At 50.1% G+C, this 16,663-nt stretch overlaps 2 protein-coding genes across 20 annotated transcripts, besides 1 other annotated feature; one reads left to right on the top strand and one right to left on the bottom strand.

Moving 5' to 3' along the window:
* Window positions 1-342: 342 nt before the first annotated feature.
* METTL25B (methyltransferase like 25B) lies at window positions 343-8,834 on the bottom strand. 14 transcript variants are annotated; one of them, XM_005245234.6, is made up of 8 exons: window positions 8,088-8,834; window positions 5,188-5,312; window positions 4,830-5,022; window positions 4,256-4,318; window positions 3,783-3,926; window positions 2,810-3,294; window positions 1,394-1,578; window positions 343-684 (listed from the first exon to the last, which is right to left on the bottom strand). In XM_005245234.6, exons 1-8 carry the CDS (start codon window positions 8,196-8,198, stop codon window positions 659-661), a joined length of 1,332 nt encoding a protein of 443 aa, XP_005245291.1. In that variant the 5' UTR covers window positions 8,199-8,834; the 3' UTR covers window positions 343-658. The 14 variants fall into 14 exon arrangements, with proteins under 14 accessions (XP_005245291.1, NP_057081.3, XP_024303189.1 ...); NM_015997.4 differs by having other exon boundaries at window positions 343-671; XM_024447421.2 differs by having other exon boundaries at window positions 3,251-3,294.
* On the top strand, window positions 8,537-15,412 carry ISG20L2 (interferon stimulated exonuclease gene 20 like 2). Of its 6 annotated transcripts, none has more exons than NM_001370151.1 (4): window positions 8,537-8,888; window positions 9,495-10,397; window positions 12,955-13,155; window positions 13,841-15,412. In NM_001370151.1, exons 2-4 carry the CDS (start codon window positions 9,651-9,653, stop codon window positions 13,952-13,954), a joined length of 1,062 nt encoding a protein of 353 aa, NP_001357080.1. In that variant the 5' UTR covers window positions 8,537-8,888; window positions 9,495-9,650; the 3' UTR covers window positions 13,955-15,412.
* Window positions 8,622-8,841: a silencer, noted in NCBI's record as "silent region_1434". NCBI's record gives its function as "represses an Ori minimal core promoter by ATAC-STARR-seq in GM12878 lymphoblastoid cells {active_cell/tissue: GM12878}" and the evidence as "EXISTENCE:reporter gene assay evidence [ECO:0000049][PMID:35858748]".
* Window positions 15,413-16,663: the final 1,251 nt, after the last annotated feature.

Here is a 16,663-nt window from a genome sequence, read left to right as displayed (position 1 = left end):
CTCCTGTGTACAGCTGCTGTGTGGTAGAATGGCACCCCTAATCCCAGCACACTCTCAGGGACTGAAGGGAAGAAGCTTCTTTCCTGAGTTTATGACAGAACCTGGATGGAAGTTAGCTGGCCTTAAGGCGGCCCTCCCAAGGGGCAGGGCCTGCAGATTCTGAGTTGGAGGCCAAAGAGGGGGAGAGAAGTCCCCTTCATGGAAATCTGTGAGTAACAGAAGCCATCACCTACCCCACCTGCTAGGGAGGCCAGTGGGGAGTGGCGTCTGAGTCCTAACTGTAGCACCCTTGCAGCAGTGCCACAGGAAGGGTGCGCATCTCCTTTTATCTACCTACAGAAATGGGAAGGAAACAGATATCCAATTTTTAATTAATTAAAACTTTACAATGTATTACATAATCCATGGAAGGAGAGAAAGGGGATGAAACTGAAGGAACCAGGACTCTGGAGGATGCAGGATGCTGTTTCTCTGGATGAGATGTACTCTGCCACTGTGCTCTCTGGGCACTTTCAGATGATGGGGTCTGAGATGTTTCCTCAGGCTGCATCAGCTGTCTTCAGTCTCCAGAACAGAAAGAGCCTGACCCAGGGGCATCTTGGTGGCCACCAGAACCAGGTTTCTGGGAGAGAGTTCAGGACTGAAGATGGGCAGGAGCTCAGCATGGAAACCTGGGAGAAAGGGCTTAATCATAAGGGGAAGAATGAACCAAACTCACTCAGCCTCTTCTGCCCAGGCCTGTAGGCATAGTCCCTTTTCCCCATGGGGGAGGATCCAGCGGGGCTAAGGAGACCCCGTTCTCCATAAGGAACACGGGTTCCCAAGGCACTGACTTGGGAGGCAGTCCTCTTGCATTGTAGGTTCTCGATGCCTGGGAAGCTTGCTTAACATGCACCTTAGAGAGGTTCACCAGAGGCTGATTTGGTAGGAATCTTAATATTTTTTTTGAGATGGAGTCTCTGTTGCCCAGGCTGGAGTGCAGTGGTGCAGTCTCGGCTCACTGCAACCTCCGCCTCCTGGGTTCAAGCAATTCTTTTGCCTCAACCACCCAAATAGCTGAGACTACAGGTGTGCGCCACCATACCCGGCTACTTTTTGTATTTTTACTAGAGATGGGGTTTCACCATCGCTGGTCTTGAACTCCTGACCTCAAGTGATCTACCCACCCTGGCCTCCTAAAGTGCTGGGATTATAGGCATGAGCCACCGCACCCAGCCTGGATTCTTAATTTTTTAACAAATCCCCTACTCCCAATCCCCTACTCAAAGGTGGGGTCCAAGGATCACAACAGTGATTAGCTAGGCCCAGAAGATGTTGGGGCTGGGACTTGGAGAAGGAGCCCCAGAACCCCAGTCACTATAGTCCTTGGGTCCCTGCTGTAGGCCACCCTCACCCTGTTCCTGAAGGTACAGCAGCCGGTCCAGTAGAATAAGCGTCTCCACCAGTGGGGCAAGCAGTAGAGCCAGGCTGAAGAAGGCCACCACACGGTTCTCCTGGGCCACGTGGGCCTGAAGGGCAGCCAGATTCAGTGGCAGCTGGGGATCTAGCCCCACTCGCTGTAGCCCCCGCTGCACATATCTGTGGGATCAGTCACATTCAGCACTCAGTTTGGTTTTAAGAACTGTCACCTCTCACTTAAACTTTGCTTGTTCCTAATTCAGTTCCAACTTTGCTTTATTTTCTACCCCAATATGCGTTTTCATGAACATATGTGCATATATATATATATATATATATTTTTTTTTTTTTTTTTTTTTTTTTTTTTTTTACAGACAGGGTCTCTCTACGTAGCCCAGGCTGGTCTCTAACTCCCAGCCTCAAGCAATCCTCCTGCCTTGGCCTCCCAAAGAGCTGGGATTATACACATGAGCCACCACACCTGGCCATGTATTTTTGAATGTTTCTCTGGCTGTGAGCTGTCTGTCTAATAGTAAATTGATTTAAACATTTTCAGCCAGTTCTGTCCAACTATTTAGCCATACTTTTAGCATTTAAAAAACTTTTTTTTTTTTTGGAGACAGAGTCTTGCTCTGTCGCCCAGGCTAGAGTACAGTGGCGCGATCTCAGTTCACTGCAACCTCTGCCTCCCGGGTTCAAACGATTTTCCTGCCTCAGCCTCCGGAGTAGCTGGGATTACAGGCGCATGCCTCCACGCCTGGCTAATTTTTGTATTTTTAGTAGGGACGGGGTTTCGCCATGTTGGCCAGGCTAGTCTCGAACTCCTGACCTCAGGTGATCGGCCCGTATCAGCCTCCCAAAGTGCTGGGATTACAGGCATGAGCCACCGCGCCTGGCCAAAACTTCATGTTTCTTTGTTAGTCTCCTGATAAAAGAGGGACAACTCTCTTAAAGAAATTTTGAGAAGGTACCCTGATCAGAGAACTCCAAATCATTCCTCTGGGTATACTTAGATTTTCTTTAGGCTATGCTGAAAGTGAGGGTAGAAGATCTCCGTTAGAAATCTCCCCTCCAGGCCGGGTGCGGTGGCTCACGCCTGTAATCCCAGCACTTTGGGAGGCCGAGGTGGGCGGACCACCAGGTCAGGAGATTGAGACCATCCTGGCTAACATGGTGAAACCCCATCTCTACTAAAAATACAAAAAATTAGCCGGGTGTAGTGGCGGGCACCTGTAGTCCCAGCTACTCAGGAGGCTGAGGCATGAGAATGGCATGAACCCAGGAGACAGAGCTTGCAGTGAGCCGAGATCGCTCCACTGCACTCCAGCCTGGGCAACAGAGCCAGACTCCATCTCAAAAAAAAAAAAAGAAATCTCCTCTCCACTGCCCCCCACCCGTCCCCCAACCTCACTCTTCAATCTTGAGCTCGTGGACCCTGGGGATACCCTGCACGCCTGGCCGACGGAGCTCGGGCCGGGCCCGTCGGATGACTGTCTCCAGTGCTGCACGGTAGCAGTGAGTTCGAAGGCCAGGGCCAGCTTTCTGTAGCCGCTCAGCATATTCCTCCAGGGCATGGCAGGCCCCCTCCCGAAGCCGGTAGGGCAGTTCATAGCCAGGCAGCCCAGCCACCCACTGACTCAGTGGGTAGCCGCCAGGGTCACTCAGCTTCATGTAGCAGCAGCCCACTGAGGCCAGGGCCACCACCTCAGGACAGCAGGAGAAGTGTCTCAGCAAGGCAACACTCAGATCCCCACAGGCGTGGAGGCCTGTGAGCAGCAAGCGGGCCCTGCCCTGACACGGGTTCTCCAGTGGAAGCAGAAGCTCCTCACACAGGGCTGTGGGGTCTACCCACCTAACCACGTGGTGTGGGGAGTGACGAGGGCTGGTTTGGACCACCTGTGGAAGCAGGAAAGGACAAAGGCAGATGGGAAGTCTGTTTGCTGTCCCCAGGCCACCTCAGGCCACAGGAAGGGATCTGTCCTCCATGTTATTCCCCAAGGAGGAATGTGGGAGATAAGGTGGGTGCGGGAGGGGCTGGACCACAAGTCAGGAGAGGGGGAAAAGTCCTGGACCTATCATTCACCATGTACATCTTTTCATCTGAGACCCAGTTTTCTTATTTGTAACAAGTCTAAAACCTGACTGGCCACTTCACAGGTAGTGAGAAGTATACATTGGTGTGGAAAGCACTTTGTAAATAGAAAGTAACTTTGAGATACAGGGAGGCACTGGGGAAAGGGCAACCTTGGGAAAGAGGTAATAGAAATTAGGGACCACACCAGTTCAAGCTGAGAAACTTGAAAGATGTAATCCAGCCTCTGTGCTCAATTCCAGCCAAGCAGCCCCTGCTCCTGCAGTCCAGGTCGCAGGAAGGGTTGGCCTACCTGCGGGTTCCTCTTCTCCTCTTTCTCCAGAGCCTGCAGAAGCTCCTGGTCCAGGCGCTGGGCTCTCTCCACCAGTCTCTGATCCCCTTCGATGCTCTTCACCATCAACCCCAGGCCAAGAGCCATGAAGCGGGAGAGATGGCCCTGGAGTCACGAGGAGGATGGAAACAGCCCTGTTCAGTGCCCTATCCACTATCACCCTCCCCATGGGTAACCTGGACACCTGGGTCCCAGGCCCCACAGAAGGCTTAAATTTTACCCTACAGAACTTATTAACATCAGTGTGGCTTAAGTTGGTATATAACTCCCCCATTGTTAAATCTGACTGGCTTAAAAAAAATTATGCAAAGAGAAAAAAAAAATTCCACGCTTCTTGACACCTGCCTCGCTGGGCCTGTGGCCCGATAACCTGCCTTCCAGGTGTTCTATGTCCCCATGACTCAAAAAAACAGTACATCAAGACTCTGGCTCACCTGGCCTGAGCCCACGTCTACAACCTGGGTGCAGCCTGTGAAATCACTCAGCTTCTTCACCAACTGAAAAAGGAGGAAACAAAGGTCTCCTAGCCACTGGTTATTGACTCCTGGGGCAAACACCCATACTGAGAGTGGAAGAGACAAAGATGACAGAGAAAGATGGACAGAGGGTGCCCTGGATGTGAAGACAGATTTGGAAAGAAAGATATAAGGGTGAGGGTGGAAGCAAGGAGAGTGGACCTGACCCCAGGTTCAGGCCCACTCTCCTTGCCTCACAGGTCAGTGATTCAATCTCCCCCACAGAACAAGAACCCTGCGTGAAGCCATGAGCAGATTGTGGAGATTTGGGAACAGGAATGAGACAGTGATTCAGACCTAGCTGCCAACCAACCCCACAAAAGAATGAAAAAGAACCCCAGCATCAAAATATGATTAGTTATGTCTGTTGAGGTAAAGGAATGTCTAGGGCCTCTGGCCTTGCATGTGAGGTAAAGGGCACACATATTTGTAAGCCAGGCTTAAGGAGTCCCTGGGCTCCCAGACACCACCCATGCTCCAGCCATCTCCTCACCTCTCCCAGCCTCCGGATCTCATGCTGCTTCTTGGGCCTGACATGTTTCCGGAATGGAGCTGTTAGTCGGGAGCTCTGGCTGGGGTTCTCCAGGAATTCTGAGGGGGTCTGAAAGCCAGGCATCCGGGTAAAGGCCAGGGCACACGCCGTGGACTTCAGGGCCAGCAGGGTGAGTGGCCACACTGACCTGTACCTGAGATAGTCCAGCCGAGGCCTCCAGTGAATAGTCCCATCACATCTGAGTGCAGCAGTTTACAACCCGAGGCCCAGGAAGACCTTATGAGACTCTCTGAGCAATATGCTCACTGCAGGGCTTAAAGCCTTGAGTTCCCCAGCACAGGGACCTTCTAGCCCATACCTGACGACCTCCCCTTCCCCAGGCATCCCCAGCAGCATTGTGGCCAGCTGTGGTGGTTTCAGTCCATCCAATGCTTCCTGCCATGAGCAAGGGAGTGTGTCCCATAGGTTGTCTGTGAAAAATTCCTACAGAAGAAGGGGAGAAGCCATCAGCAAGCTACTACCACTCCCATTCTTTCCCACACCACTCTCAACTACACACCTCATTGCCTGCCTCTTCCCAGCACTGCTGCCACATAGGGCCACTGCCTGTAACTGGCAGGTACCTCCTGCTAAGCCGAGTCAGTTCTCTGAAGCCTGCTCCAGCCTCCCCGACTCTGGTGGCTTAACTCTGTTTCCCTGGAGTCCAGATTGCATTCTGGACACACTTCTTTTAGCAATTTCTGCACTTATTTGTGTCTGTTTTCTCTATTAAATTGAATTTCTTAAGGGGAGGGATGGGATGGTATCTTCACATCTGCATCCCTAACACTTACCAGAGTGACTGACACACAGTATTAGTACATTACCACTTAGTAACCTGCATTATATGTGCCAGACACTGGTGTCTTTTTATTCATTCGTCCACCACAAATTCTGGGGCTGTGTTTCGGTTATACATCAAGCTCTATTGTAGGCTCAGGGAATACAACAGTGAACCTGAGACAAGATTCTGGCTCCTGCAGAGTTTACATTAAAAAAAATAATAACTTTGGCCGGGCATGGTGGCTCACGCCTGTAATCCCAGCACTTTGGGAGACCAAGGCGGGCAGATCACCTGAGATCAGGAGTTCGAGACCAGCCTGGCCAATATGGTGAAACCCCGTCTCGACTAAAATTACAAAAATTTGCCAGGCATGTTGGCACACGCCTGTAATCCCAGCTACCCAGTAGGCTGAGGCAGGAGAATCACTGGAACCCTGGAGGCAGAGGCTGCAGTGAGCCTAGATTGTGCCACTGCACTCCAGCCTGGGCAGCAGAGCAAAACTCCCTCTCAAAAAAAACAAACCAAAACAAAACTTCAGACAACATCATATGTCATATAGACAAAACACTAATGAAACAGTAATGTAATGGAGAGTTTGGGCAAGGACTACTTTAGATAGGATGATGAGGGAAGACCTGTCTGAGGTGACATTTGAGCTGAGACTTGAATGATGAATAGGTGCTAGGCATGTAAAGAAAATACAGGTAATAGCAAACACTTATTTAACACCTTCTCGGCCAGGTACTGCTGTAAACATTTGACATGTATTAATGCATTTGATCCTTTAAACAACACTTTGAGGTAGGTATTATTTTTTATCCCCCATTTTACAGATGTAGAAACAGGCACAGCACTTAAGTAACTTGCCCACGTCCAAAAGCTAGCAAATAGCTGAGCTGGGATTATTTATTTATTTTTAGAGATGGAGTCTCACTCTGCCACCTAGGCTGGAGTGCAGTGGCGCGATCTCAGCTCACTGCAACCTCCGCCTCCCTGGTTCTAGCAATTCTCCTGCCTCAGCCTCCCTAGTAGCTGGGACTACAGGTGTGTGCTGCCAAGCCTAGCTATTTTTTTATTTTATTTTATTTTAGTAGAGACGGGGTTTCACCGTGTTGCCCAGGCTGGTCTCAAACTCCTGAGCTCAGGCAATCCACCCACCTCGGCCTCCCAGAGTGCTAGGATTACAGGTGTGAGCCATCGTACCCGGCCTGAGCTGGGATTTGAAACCAATTTTACTCTAGAGTCCTTGTTCTTAACCATTCTGCGATTGCCTTTCTGTGGCGGAAGAGCAGTGAGTGCAAAGGTCCAGATGCCTGCCATATTGGCAGAACAGAAATCAGGCCAGCAGAGGTATAGCACAGTGAAATGTGTGAGAGAATAAAATGGGATAGAGTTCAAGAGACAGTAGGAGCCAGAATATGGGTTTTATAGGTAATAGTAAGGAGTTAGGATTTCATAAAAGTATCTAGGAAGCAAGGGATTGTCGTGATCAGATTTACATTTGAATGCTATCAATCTAGCTGCTCAGTGAAGAATTGGTAATGGCAGGGCAGAGGTAAGCACACAGCAAGATCGGTTAGGAAGTAGTTCAGAAGAGAGGTGATGGTGGCTTGGCCTAGGGTGGCAGCAACGGAGGTGGGGACAAATGGATGAATTTGGGATCTATTCCGAAGGCAGAGCCAAGAGGACTTGTTGAAGAACTGGATTGTGGATCAATGAAGGACAGCACTGAATCAATGATGGCCTCTGGGTTTGTGGTCTAAACAATTCAGTGGATGGTGGTGCCATTTACACATTCTCTCATTTATTCTTCACAATAATCCTTCAGACTGGGATCCATTGTATAGCTGAGGAAACCCGGACTAGGACAAGTTGGGGGTTAGGGAGGCCTAAGGTTAACATCATAGGGGAGGCAGGATTCTAGACTAAGCCTTTTTGATTCCAGAGCCAGGACTGTCTACTATACCACAAAACCACGAATTTATTCAAAGCTTGGATGAATAACGTGTGTTCTTGGAACACCTGACATGCTCCAAGAAGAGTTCAACATAGTTGCAGCATGGTTCCAATGTCCACGCATTTTATTACCTTGGATCTGGGAAGATTACAAAAACAATCTAGGTAGGTACTAGAAATATTATTTATGCAGTGAGCCGAGATCGTGCCACTGCACTCCAGCCTGGGGGACAGAGCGAGACTCCGTCTCAAAAAAAAAAAGAAAAAAAAAAAGAAAAAGAAAAAAAAAGAAATATTATTTATGTCAGCTGAAAAAAAAGGAGGGATCACTCCAGTTTTAACCCCTTCTTGTACAGAAAAAGACTGAAACTCATAGAAGGAAAGAGATCAGAGGCTAATTCTCCAGATTCTCTCCCTGACGTGGGCACCTAGCCAACCACACGACCAGAGACATCCCACCCACGCCCCTGTGGCCTCACGATGATGTAGGCATCCAAGATGGAACGGTAGAGTGCCAGGACACGGGTGAGGTTAACAGCTAGCTGCTTCCTCCCCTCATGAGAGAGGCCTCGGGCGGAGATGCCCGGCATCCCGGGGTCCAGCAGGGAGCGCGGGGAGCGAGAACGCAGTGAACAGGGATCCAGGGTCAGTACTACGCGGGTCCAGGACCCGGACGGGGCTCAACTCTGCAGGCAGAACAGGAAGAGTTTTGGGTCCAGTCTCCGACGCTGCCTTTCCGGGATCCGATGCTGGAGTGGAAGATTTGAGGCGCCCCCCAGACGTCACAGGTCGCGACGTTTCACAGTGAGAAGGTGTCAGCGTCAGAGACACGTAGGGCGGGGTAACAGTGCAGTGACGCCACAAAAGCGTGCCGCTGAGCTCAGCTCACAACGAGGCGGGCCAAGTTCCAGTTCCCGCCCCTTGCCGTACACTCCTCTCCTCTTACGGAAGTGAAGCCGGAGGTGTCCGGCGGGCTGCAGTTCCGGTTTATCGCGGCCTTCCCACACCTTCGCGTTGTACCACCACGGGGCTAGAGGGGCCGGGGAGCGCATCCCGCCCCCGCCCCCACCCACGCCGCCCCCTCCTCCGCCGCCACTGCCGCTCCTCACACACTCGGAATCACTGGCCTCACTACCTGGGGTCGGGGCGGTGCGGGTGTGCGCGCGCCGACCTCTGGCGCGTTCTAACCCGCGCGCCTGCCTTCCCGGGCTTCGTCGGCGCGCACCGATTTCCGCATCCGGCTCCGGACGCTTCCGGTCTTAGCTGGACCCGTCTGGGAGGTAGGTTTGTGAGCGTGAGAGATCGATCTGTACCGCGGGGATCCGAAGTATGCTTATCCAGGTGGGCTGCCTCAAGCCTCGATCCCACCCCCGCGCTGGTAGATGGTGTCAAGGTCCTTGCGTGGGAGAAGGACTTGGGTGAGATGCATGCGGAGATTGCCCCCAATTCCGGCCTGGAGCCAAGGGAAAGGGATGCCTGGATTTGTGTCTCTATTGGTGGTCCACGCTGCGGATGCCTGGGTAGCCCAGAGGTTATCTACGCCATACTTCTCACTGTTTTTGAGCATACCTAGATGTTCCTTTCCTAGGCGGAGTATAGATCGCACGTGTTCTAGCCTCTTAGACTCAGAGGGTTCGAGCTCTATAAGCCCCTCCACTCCCTTCATTTTACAAATGAGACTCAAACCTAGAGCGCGGTAATGACCTTACTAAGACCAAATGGCTGGTGAATTGGGCTTCACTAGAATCCAGGCTTGCTGGCTAACACCAATGCTCCCTCCATCATTTCATGTTATGTTTTCATTTCCCCTCTGTCTGAGAGATTGCTCTGATGTCTTTCCTTCCATAAGTCCTACGGAGATCGAGCTTACCTCATTTTTCTCCCAGGCCTAGGAGCTCAATTACCAGGATCACTTTCTTCCCCAGGGTGTACTACAGACCTCCACATGTTGGACAGTAGGATTCAGCAGAGAATGAGTCCCACATCCTCTTTTCATCCATAAGCCACTCTTCCCAACTACTCTTCCGCCTTCCATTGTCCCTATGTCTACTTTACTGCTCAATCTGGATTTTGGGGAACCTCCTCCCAAAAAGGCATTAGAAGGAAATGCCAAGCACCGAAATTTTGTCAAGAAGCGGAGGCTCTTAGAACGGAGAGGCTTTCTGAGTAAAAAGAACCAACCCCCTAGCAAGGCGCCTAAGTTGCACTCTGAACCTTCAAAGAAAGGGGAAACTCCTACGGTCGATGGCACTTGGAAGACCCCTTCCTTCCCAAAAAAGAAGACAGCTGCTTCCAGCAATGGGTCAGGACAGCCCCTGGACAAGAAAGCTGCAGTGTCTTGGTTGACCCCTGCCCCTTCAAAAAAGGCTGATTCTGTTGCTGCTAAAGTAGATTTGCTGGGGGAGTTCCAGAGTGCCCTTCCAAAGATCAATAGCCACCCAACCCGCTCTCAGAAGAAGAGCTCCCAGAAGAAATCCTCTAAAAAGAACCATCCTCAGAAGAATGCCCCACAGAACTCCACCCAAGCTCATTCAGAGAATAAATGCTCCGGAGCATCCCAGAAGTTGCCACGGAAGATGGTGGCAATTGACTGTGAGATGGTGGGCACAGGACCAAAGGGGCATGTTAGTTCCTTGGCTCGATGTAGCATTGTCAACTACAACGGAGATGTGCTTTATGACGAGTACATTCTTCCCCCCTGCCACATTGTGGACTACCGAACCAGGTGGAGTGGTATCCGGAAGCAGCACATGGTGAATGCCACACCCTTCAAGATTGCTCGAGGCCAGGTAAGAAGCATGGGGCTTGATGGTGGCAGGGAGGTGGATGGAGAGAGGTCTAAATCATTTTTCAGCAAAGGATATCACTATGGGAAGACACCAACGTTTGTGGAGGGAGGGAGGAGAATCTATCAGTTGTTGAAGAAGGCCCCCTGTCGGTGGAAGAAGCAGTGAAAGTCAGGAAGGTACAATTAGCTGGTGTCACAAACTTCATTGGTCAAGATCTATTTTAGCCGGGCGCAGTGGCACTTGCCTATAATCCCAGCACTTTGGGAGGCTGAGGCGGGAGAATCGCTCAAGCCCAGGAACTCAAGCCCTGTCTGGGCAACATAGCGGAACTCATCTACAAAAAAGTTAGCCAAGTGTGGTACATGCCTGTAGTCCCAGCTACTCAGGAGGTCGAGGCTGCAGTGAGCTGAGATCACACCACTGCCACTGCACTCCAGCCTGAGCGACAGAGTGAGATCCTGTCTCAAAAAAACAAACAAAAAAACTATTTTAGGTTCTAAATTGGGTCTGGGGAACTGGGAATCTGCATAGAAAAATAACAGCAAGTGATGAAACTAGACAGAGCTGCAGACACCAGTGTCAGGAGAAAGGGCTTGATTTGGAAAAACCTTGCGAGTTGGAGCCTAAGCTTGAGAGAGGAAAGGTGGAGAGCTCGTCCCAAGCAAAAAGTAGCCTGGGGCAAGTGCGGAAAGTGGTGGTGGTAAGAGAGGGCAGAAAGTTGACAGGAGGAGCTGGGGTATATATTGTCCAACTGGAACAGGTAACCAGTGAACGGCATAAACGGCACAGGGCCGGCACTTCGGGTTGTCATCTCACTCCTAGCCCTGTGCTGGCCATGGAGCGCAAGGCATGAACGGAAAGGAGAGTGAGCTGGGAGGGGTGAAAGAGGAAGTGAAGGGAGAGCAAGAGACCTGCTGGTCTCAGGAGGCCGCCAGAGGGCGCCCTTGGTCCACGTCTTTGCAGTTTCAGGTCCACACTCTGCCCTCTCTGGACACGCTGTTCCCATAATGCCTTATATGCGGTCAGTTGGAGGAGGTTCGTTAGAGGTGAGGTGACTGACTATTTTAGAAAAGACGGAAAGAAGAGTTAAACATCTTGTGCACAAAGGGGCGCAGCCAAGCAAAGGCATAGGAGAGGCAGAAGATGGGACGGGTCTGAGACAGCAAATCTGCCCAGCTTTGATGAGGGCTATATGTCGAGGTTAATAAGAAGTGAAGGTGGTGGTGGACAGTAAGTAGGTGAAGTCAGGAGTAACGAAATATCTAGTTCACGGGACTACGTCTGGTTTTCATCATAAAGCACTTCCCCAGTGCCAAGCTGGGGTTATGAGACTAAGGTATGTCCAGATGAGCCTAGCCCCTTCAGAGGGGGTCCCTTTGGGAGGCTATGCAGGACTGTCACTTTTGTTGAAAACCTGTTTGGAACCTCATTTGGGAATGGCCTTCAGAGCCTGTGGTGTGTTCTTCGGTTGTCCTCATTGGTAGCATGTCCTCCTACTTCAAGAGCCTGAAATGGCTAGGTGTGGTGACATGTGTCTGTAATCCCAGCTACTCAGGAGTTTGAGGTGAGAGCATTGCTTGAGCCCAGGAGTTTGAGGCCAGCCAACCTGGGAAAAATAGCAAGACCTCATCTCTTTTAAAAAATAAGTTACCTGAAGGCCAGGTGTGGTGGCTCACACCTGTAATCCCAGCACTTTGGGAGCCTGAAGCGGGCAGATCACAAGATCAGGAGTTCAAGACCAGCCTGGCCCATATGGTGAAACTCCGTCTCTACTAAAAATACAAAACTTAGCCAGGCATGGTGGCAGGTGCCAGTAGTCCCAGCTACTTGGGAGGCTGAGGCAGGAGAAACGCTTGAACCCGGGAGGCGGAGGTTGTAGTGAGCCAAGATCGCGCCAGTACACTCCAGCCTGGGCAACAGAGCAAGACTCCATCTCAAAAAAAAAAAACAGTTTCCTGAAATATTGAGAAGTTATTTTTATTTTACTTGGTTCCAAAACTAGTGTGAATAAGGTTGCTTCTGCAACTTTAGTTTATATGTGATTCTTAATTTTTTACGGTTTGTAGACTCTGAGAATTTGATGAAAGCCACAGATTCTCTTCCTCTAGTACCCATACACATCTAATTGCATGTAATTTTGGGCTTTTGTTAGCCTCCCTGGAGCCCGGGTCCCAGCCATGTGTCTAAGGCCAACATAATGGTAATAGTTAAAGGACTTCATGTAGCAAGCCAGAACTGAACTAAATACATGGACATCTCAAACATGAGTGTCATTTAGGACTGAAGGCAAATTAATGTCATGGGGTGGAGATCAATAAGAAGGTAAGGAGCCACTGGCAGTATGAGTCCAAACAGGGTATACCATGGAAATCACCTGTGGAAGAGGAAGGTGGATTCCAGAAGAAAGAAAACTTGTGGGAGTGAGCATTTCAAGGATGGAGAGGTAGGCAGTTGGTGAAAGAATCCAGAAGGGATTGATGGTCATGTTGGGCTTTCAGAATGCAGGGGTTCCACTTCAGTCTTCCTTCTCACCACTCTCTTCCCACACTTCTTCCAGATCTTGAAGATACTCACAGGGAAGATAGTGGTGGGGCATGCCATCCACAACGACTTCAAAGCCCTTCAGTACTTTCACCCCAAGTCCCTCACCCGTGACACCTCCCATATCCCCCCCCTCAACCGGAAGGCTGACTGCCCGGAGAATGCCACCATGTCTCTGAAGCATCTCACCAAGAAGCTGCTAAACCGGGATATCCAGGTAGCATCTCCCCACATCCCCCGCCCCCATCTTGGACATGGCTCTCGTTGATGCCCCTAGCCAGACTCTGATCTCAGAAGTCCTGTGGTTGTAGAGATCCAGGTGGGCTGCTGTGATGGGAAGAGCTCCATCTGTACACAGGATAATAATTCCTGTTGTCTACCTCATAGAATGTTTCAAAGTGTGCTTTGGAAAAGGGAAAAAGTCCTAAGTAGATATAAAACCCTAACTAAGGAAGAAAGCAGGTAGCAGTGGTGGTCCAAGAGACCGTGTAGTGGATGCAAGGACCGCTCGTATTTTACACGCTATATTTCAGCAAAGGGTGGCCCATCTGGCAGGAAGATGGGGACATATGTCACATATAGAGCAGTTAAGGAACTAGGGAAAGTGGAAGACTCAGAAGACCTGTCTTTGACCTGGTATGTTCTATCTCTACAGAACCTAATATGGCTTATACATACTGCCACAGAAAGGACTGAGGTAGACAGTGGCAAAGACTTCCTAGGAGTTGAACCCCTGAAATTACATAAGGAGTAGGACCCCACCAGAATTCTGTCTTTGTAGGCTGCTGACTGCAGAAGAAACTGTGTAGCGGAGGCAGGGGGAAGAGGAGTACAGAGAGTACACTGGGAAGGAAGAAACGGTTTCTTTTCTCTTCATGCTCTTGTCTTCCTTGCTTGCTCAGGTTGGGAAGAGCGGACATTCCTCTGTGGAAGATGCCCAGGCCACCATGGAGCTATATAAGTTGGTTGAAGTCGAGTGGGAAGAGCACCTAGCCCGGAATCCCCCTACAGACTAGTGGCAGTGGGGACGCTGGTGATATGAGGAGGCAGAGGCAGCACCCAGGAGAAACAGGGCAGTGGACCAATGGACAGCTCCACCAGCTCCACATCTTTGGAAGCTAGATTTGGGGAGAGAGAAGCTCTACCCCAGACTTAATACCCATTGAAATTTCACCTCAGGTGTTGTGTCCTGTGTCTGGTTAAGTGTCCCATGGAAGGGGAAAGCCTTCACGTCAGAACCCAACCCTATACCTTTTACTTCTTAAATGGTGCTAACCACAGGTGTCCCAGGGTGCTCTGTGCCAGTTAAGATTTTTAACTTTCAAGGGGCAGGGCATACTGGGAAATGTAGTTTCCCAAACTGCCTTATCACTTGGGTGGACATATGTCTCCTTTTATGCCTTTTGGTCTTGAGTAATTAACAGCATCCTCTTCCACGCTCAGAAGTGTTCTGGTTGGGGCCAGGCATGGTGGCTCACACCTGTAGTCCCAACACTTAGGGAGGCCGAGGCGGGCGGATCACCTGAGATCAGGAGTTCAAGACCAGCCTGGCCAACATGGCGAATTCCCGTTCTCTACTAAAAATACAAAAAATGTGTGGGGTGTGGTGGCAGGAGCCTGTAATCCTAGCTACTCAGGAGGCTGAGGCAGGAGAATCGCTTGAGCCCAGGAGGCGGAGATTGCAGTGAGCCGAGATCGTGTCACTGCACTCCAGCCTGGGTGACAAGAGTGAGACTCCGTCTCCAAAAAAAAAAAAAAAGAATTTATTAACCTGGTTGGTTAATAAATTGTGTGGTCCCTGCCGGGCGTGGTGGCTCACGCCTGTAATCCCAGCACTTTGGGAGGCCGAGACGGGCAGATCACGAGGTCAGGAGATCGAGACCATCCTGGCTAACACGGTGAAACCCCGTCTCTACTAAAAATACAAAAAATTAGCCAGGCGTGGTGGCGGGCACCTGTAGTTCCAGCTACTTGGGAGGCTGAGGCAGGAGAATGGCGTGAACCCAGGAGGCGGAGCTTGCAGTGAGCCGAGATTGTGCCACTGCACTCCAGCCTGGGCCACGGCCACAGAGCGAGACTCTGTCTCAAAAAAAAAAAAAAATTAAAATTGTGTGGTCCCTTTCCATGTCACAGAGTCTGCTTTTGGCTCAGAGTCTGTATCTAGCCTGTGTCAGGATATTGCCTGTTCTTCCCACCTTGACTTCCAGAGCAGCCATCGCTGGTGAGCTTTAGTTCTCCTTAGGGTTCCAAGGCATTAGAAGTAAGAGTGTAGCTTGGAAACCAACTTCTGTGATTTAGGAAAGCTGTCTCTTTCCTAAGGTAATAGGGGGTTTATTTCATTTAGGCCCCAGTTGGTAGGTTTTAAAATAATTTATAAAGTGTTTTAATAATTTGGTTGTCTTTTTTACCTTGCTAAACCAAGCCTCTAAAAACTCAAATTATTCCCTTGATAAATTTTTATAATGGAAAAGCAATTATGTACAGTTTCTTCTTTATGTTAAATAGCTCTATCACAAAGTATTGTGGAGCTGTAGTTTTCTTAGGGGATTTCCAGGTTCACTGGATGACACTAACTGGGGCCCTTCCTGGAAGTCATAGAACTGACCAAGCCTTTGTGCGTAACCCACGTGACACATATGGTTCCTTGTCCTCATCCCTACCACACATCAGAGCTGAGCATGGCAGCTCACGCCTGTAATCCCAGCTACCCGGGAGGCTAAGGCATGATGATTCCTTGAGCCCAGGAATTTAAATCCAGCCCAGGCAAAATAGACCCCATCTCAATTTTAAAAAAAAGGAATGAGCACACCTAAAATGACACCCCAAGCCATGCAACTCCCCCTGACACACACAGGGTATGTGACCAGGAGAGTGAGATAGAGAGAGTGGGCATGAAGGAGGGGCAGAGCAGGGGAGAAAGGGTGCTTGGTGATGACAGCCTGGTCCTGCTGCCAGCTTTTGGTGGTACACACCCCATCTTGGGAAAGAGTCACCAGTCTGACCTTGTGTCCAGGATCATTATCTGCACTTTCTTGAGAGAATGCAGACTCCATGTCTACACAAGGACTTTTGCATTCTTGAGTGGCTGGTCTGGTTCCAGGGGCCAGAGTCACGGTCACAGCTGCCTATAGAAGTGAATTTCGTGCAGCCAGACCAGACCCAGACATGGTCTTGTTGAGGCCTGCACTGTGGGGTCTGTTGCACAGGCAGCCATTGTGCTCTGAGCAAATTGGTTCCTGTGGGGCCCAACATATTTAATGTCCATGACTTCACAAAGGGGTGCCAGGTATCCTTGCACAGCAAGAACTAAGAATAGTGCAAGGAGGCCGCAACAGAAACTGGTAAGAATACACACATGCAAGCGATTCTTAACTACATTGTAATCAGTAAATGAAGATAACGACAATATTCTCATTAGGGTACTTACTGGCTGAAACAAAACTAACTTTGTCAGGCCGGTGCAGTGGCTCACACCCGTAATCCCAGCACTTTGGGGAGGCTGAGGCAGGAGGATGGCTTGAGCCCAGGAGTTTGAGACCAGCCTGGGCAACATAGTGAAACCCCATCGCTACCAAAAAAAAAAAAAAAAAAAACCCTGGCTTTGTATGTGTCTTGGTAAAGTAGCAACTGGCTTTTATGATCCCCCTACCCCCACACCCTGTGTCTAAAAGGGCACATGACTGCTACAGCCTCAAAACAAAAGTACTTGATCTCAGTCCAATGTT

This window comes from Homo sapiens, chromosome 1, assembly GCF_000001405.40.
Source record: "Homo sapiens chromosome 1, GRCh38.p14 Primary Assembly".
NCBI classification, from domain to species: Eukaryota; Metazoa; Chordata; class Mammalia; order Primates; family Hominidae; genus Homo; species Homo sapiens.
This window is presented reverse-complemented; position numbering and strand designations above follow the sequence as displayed.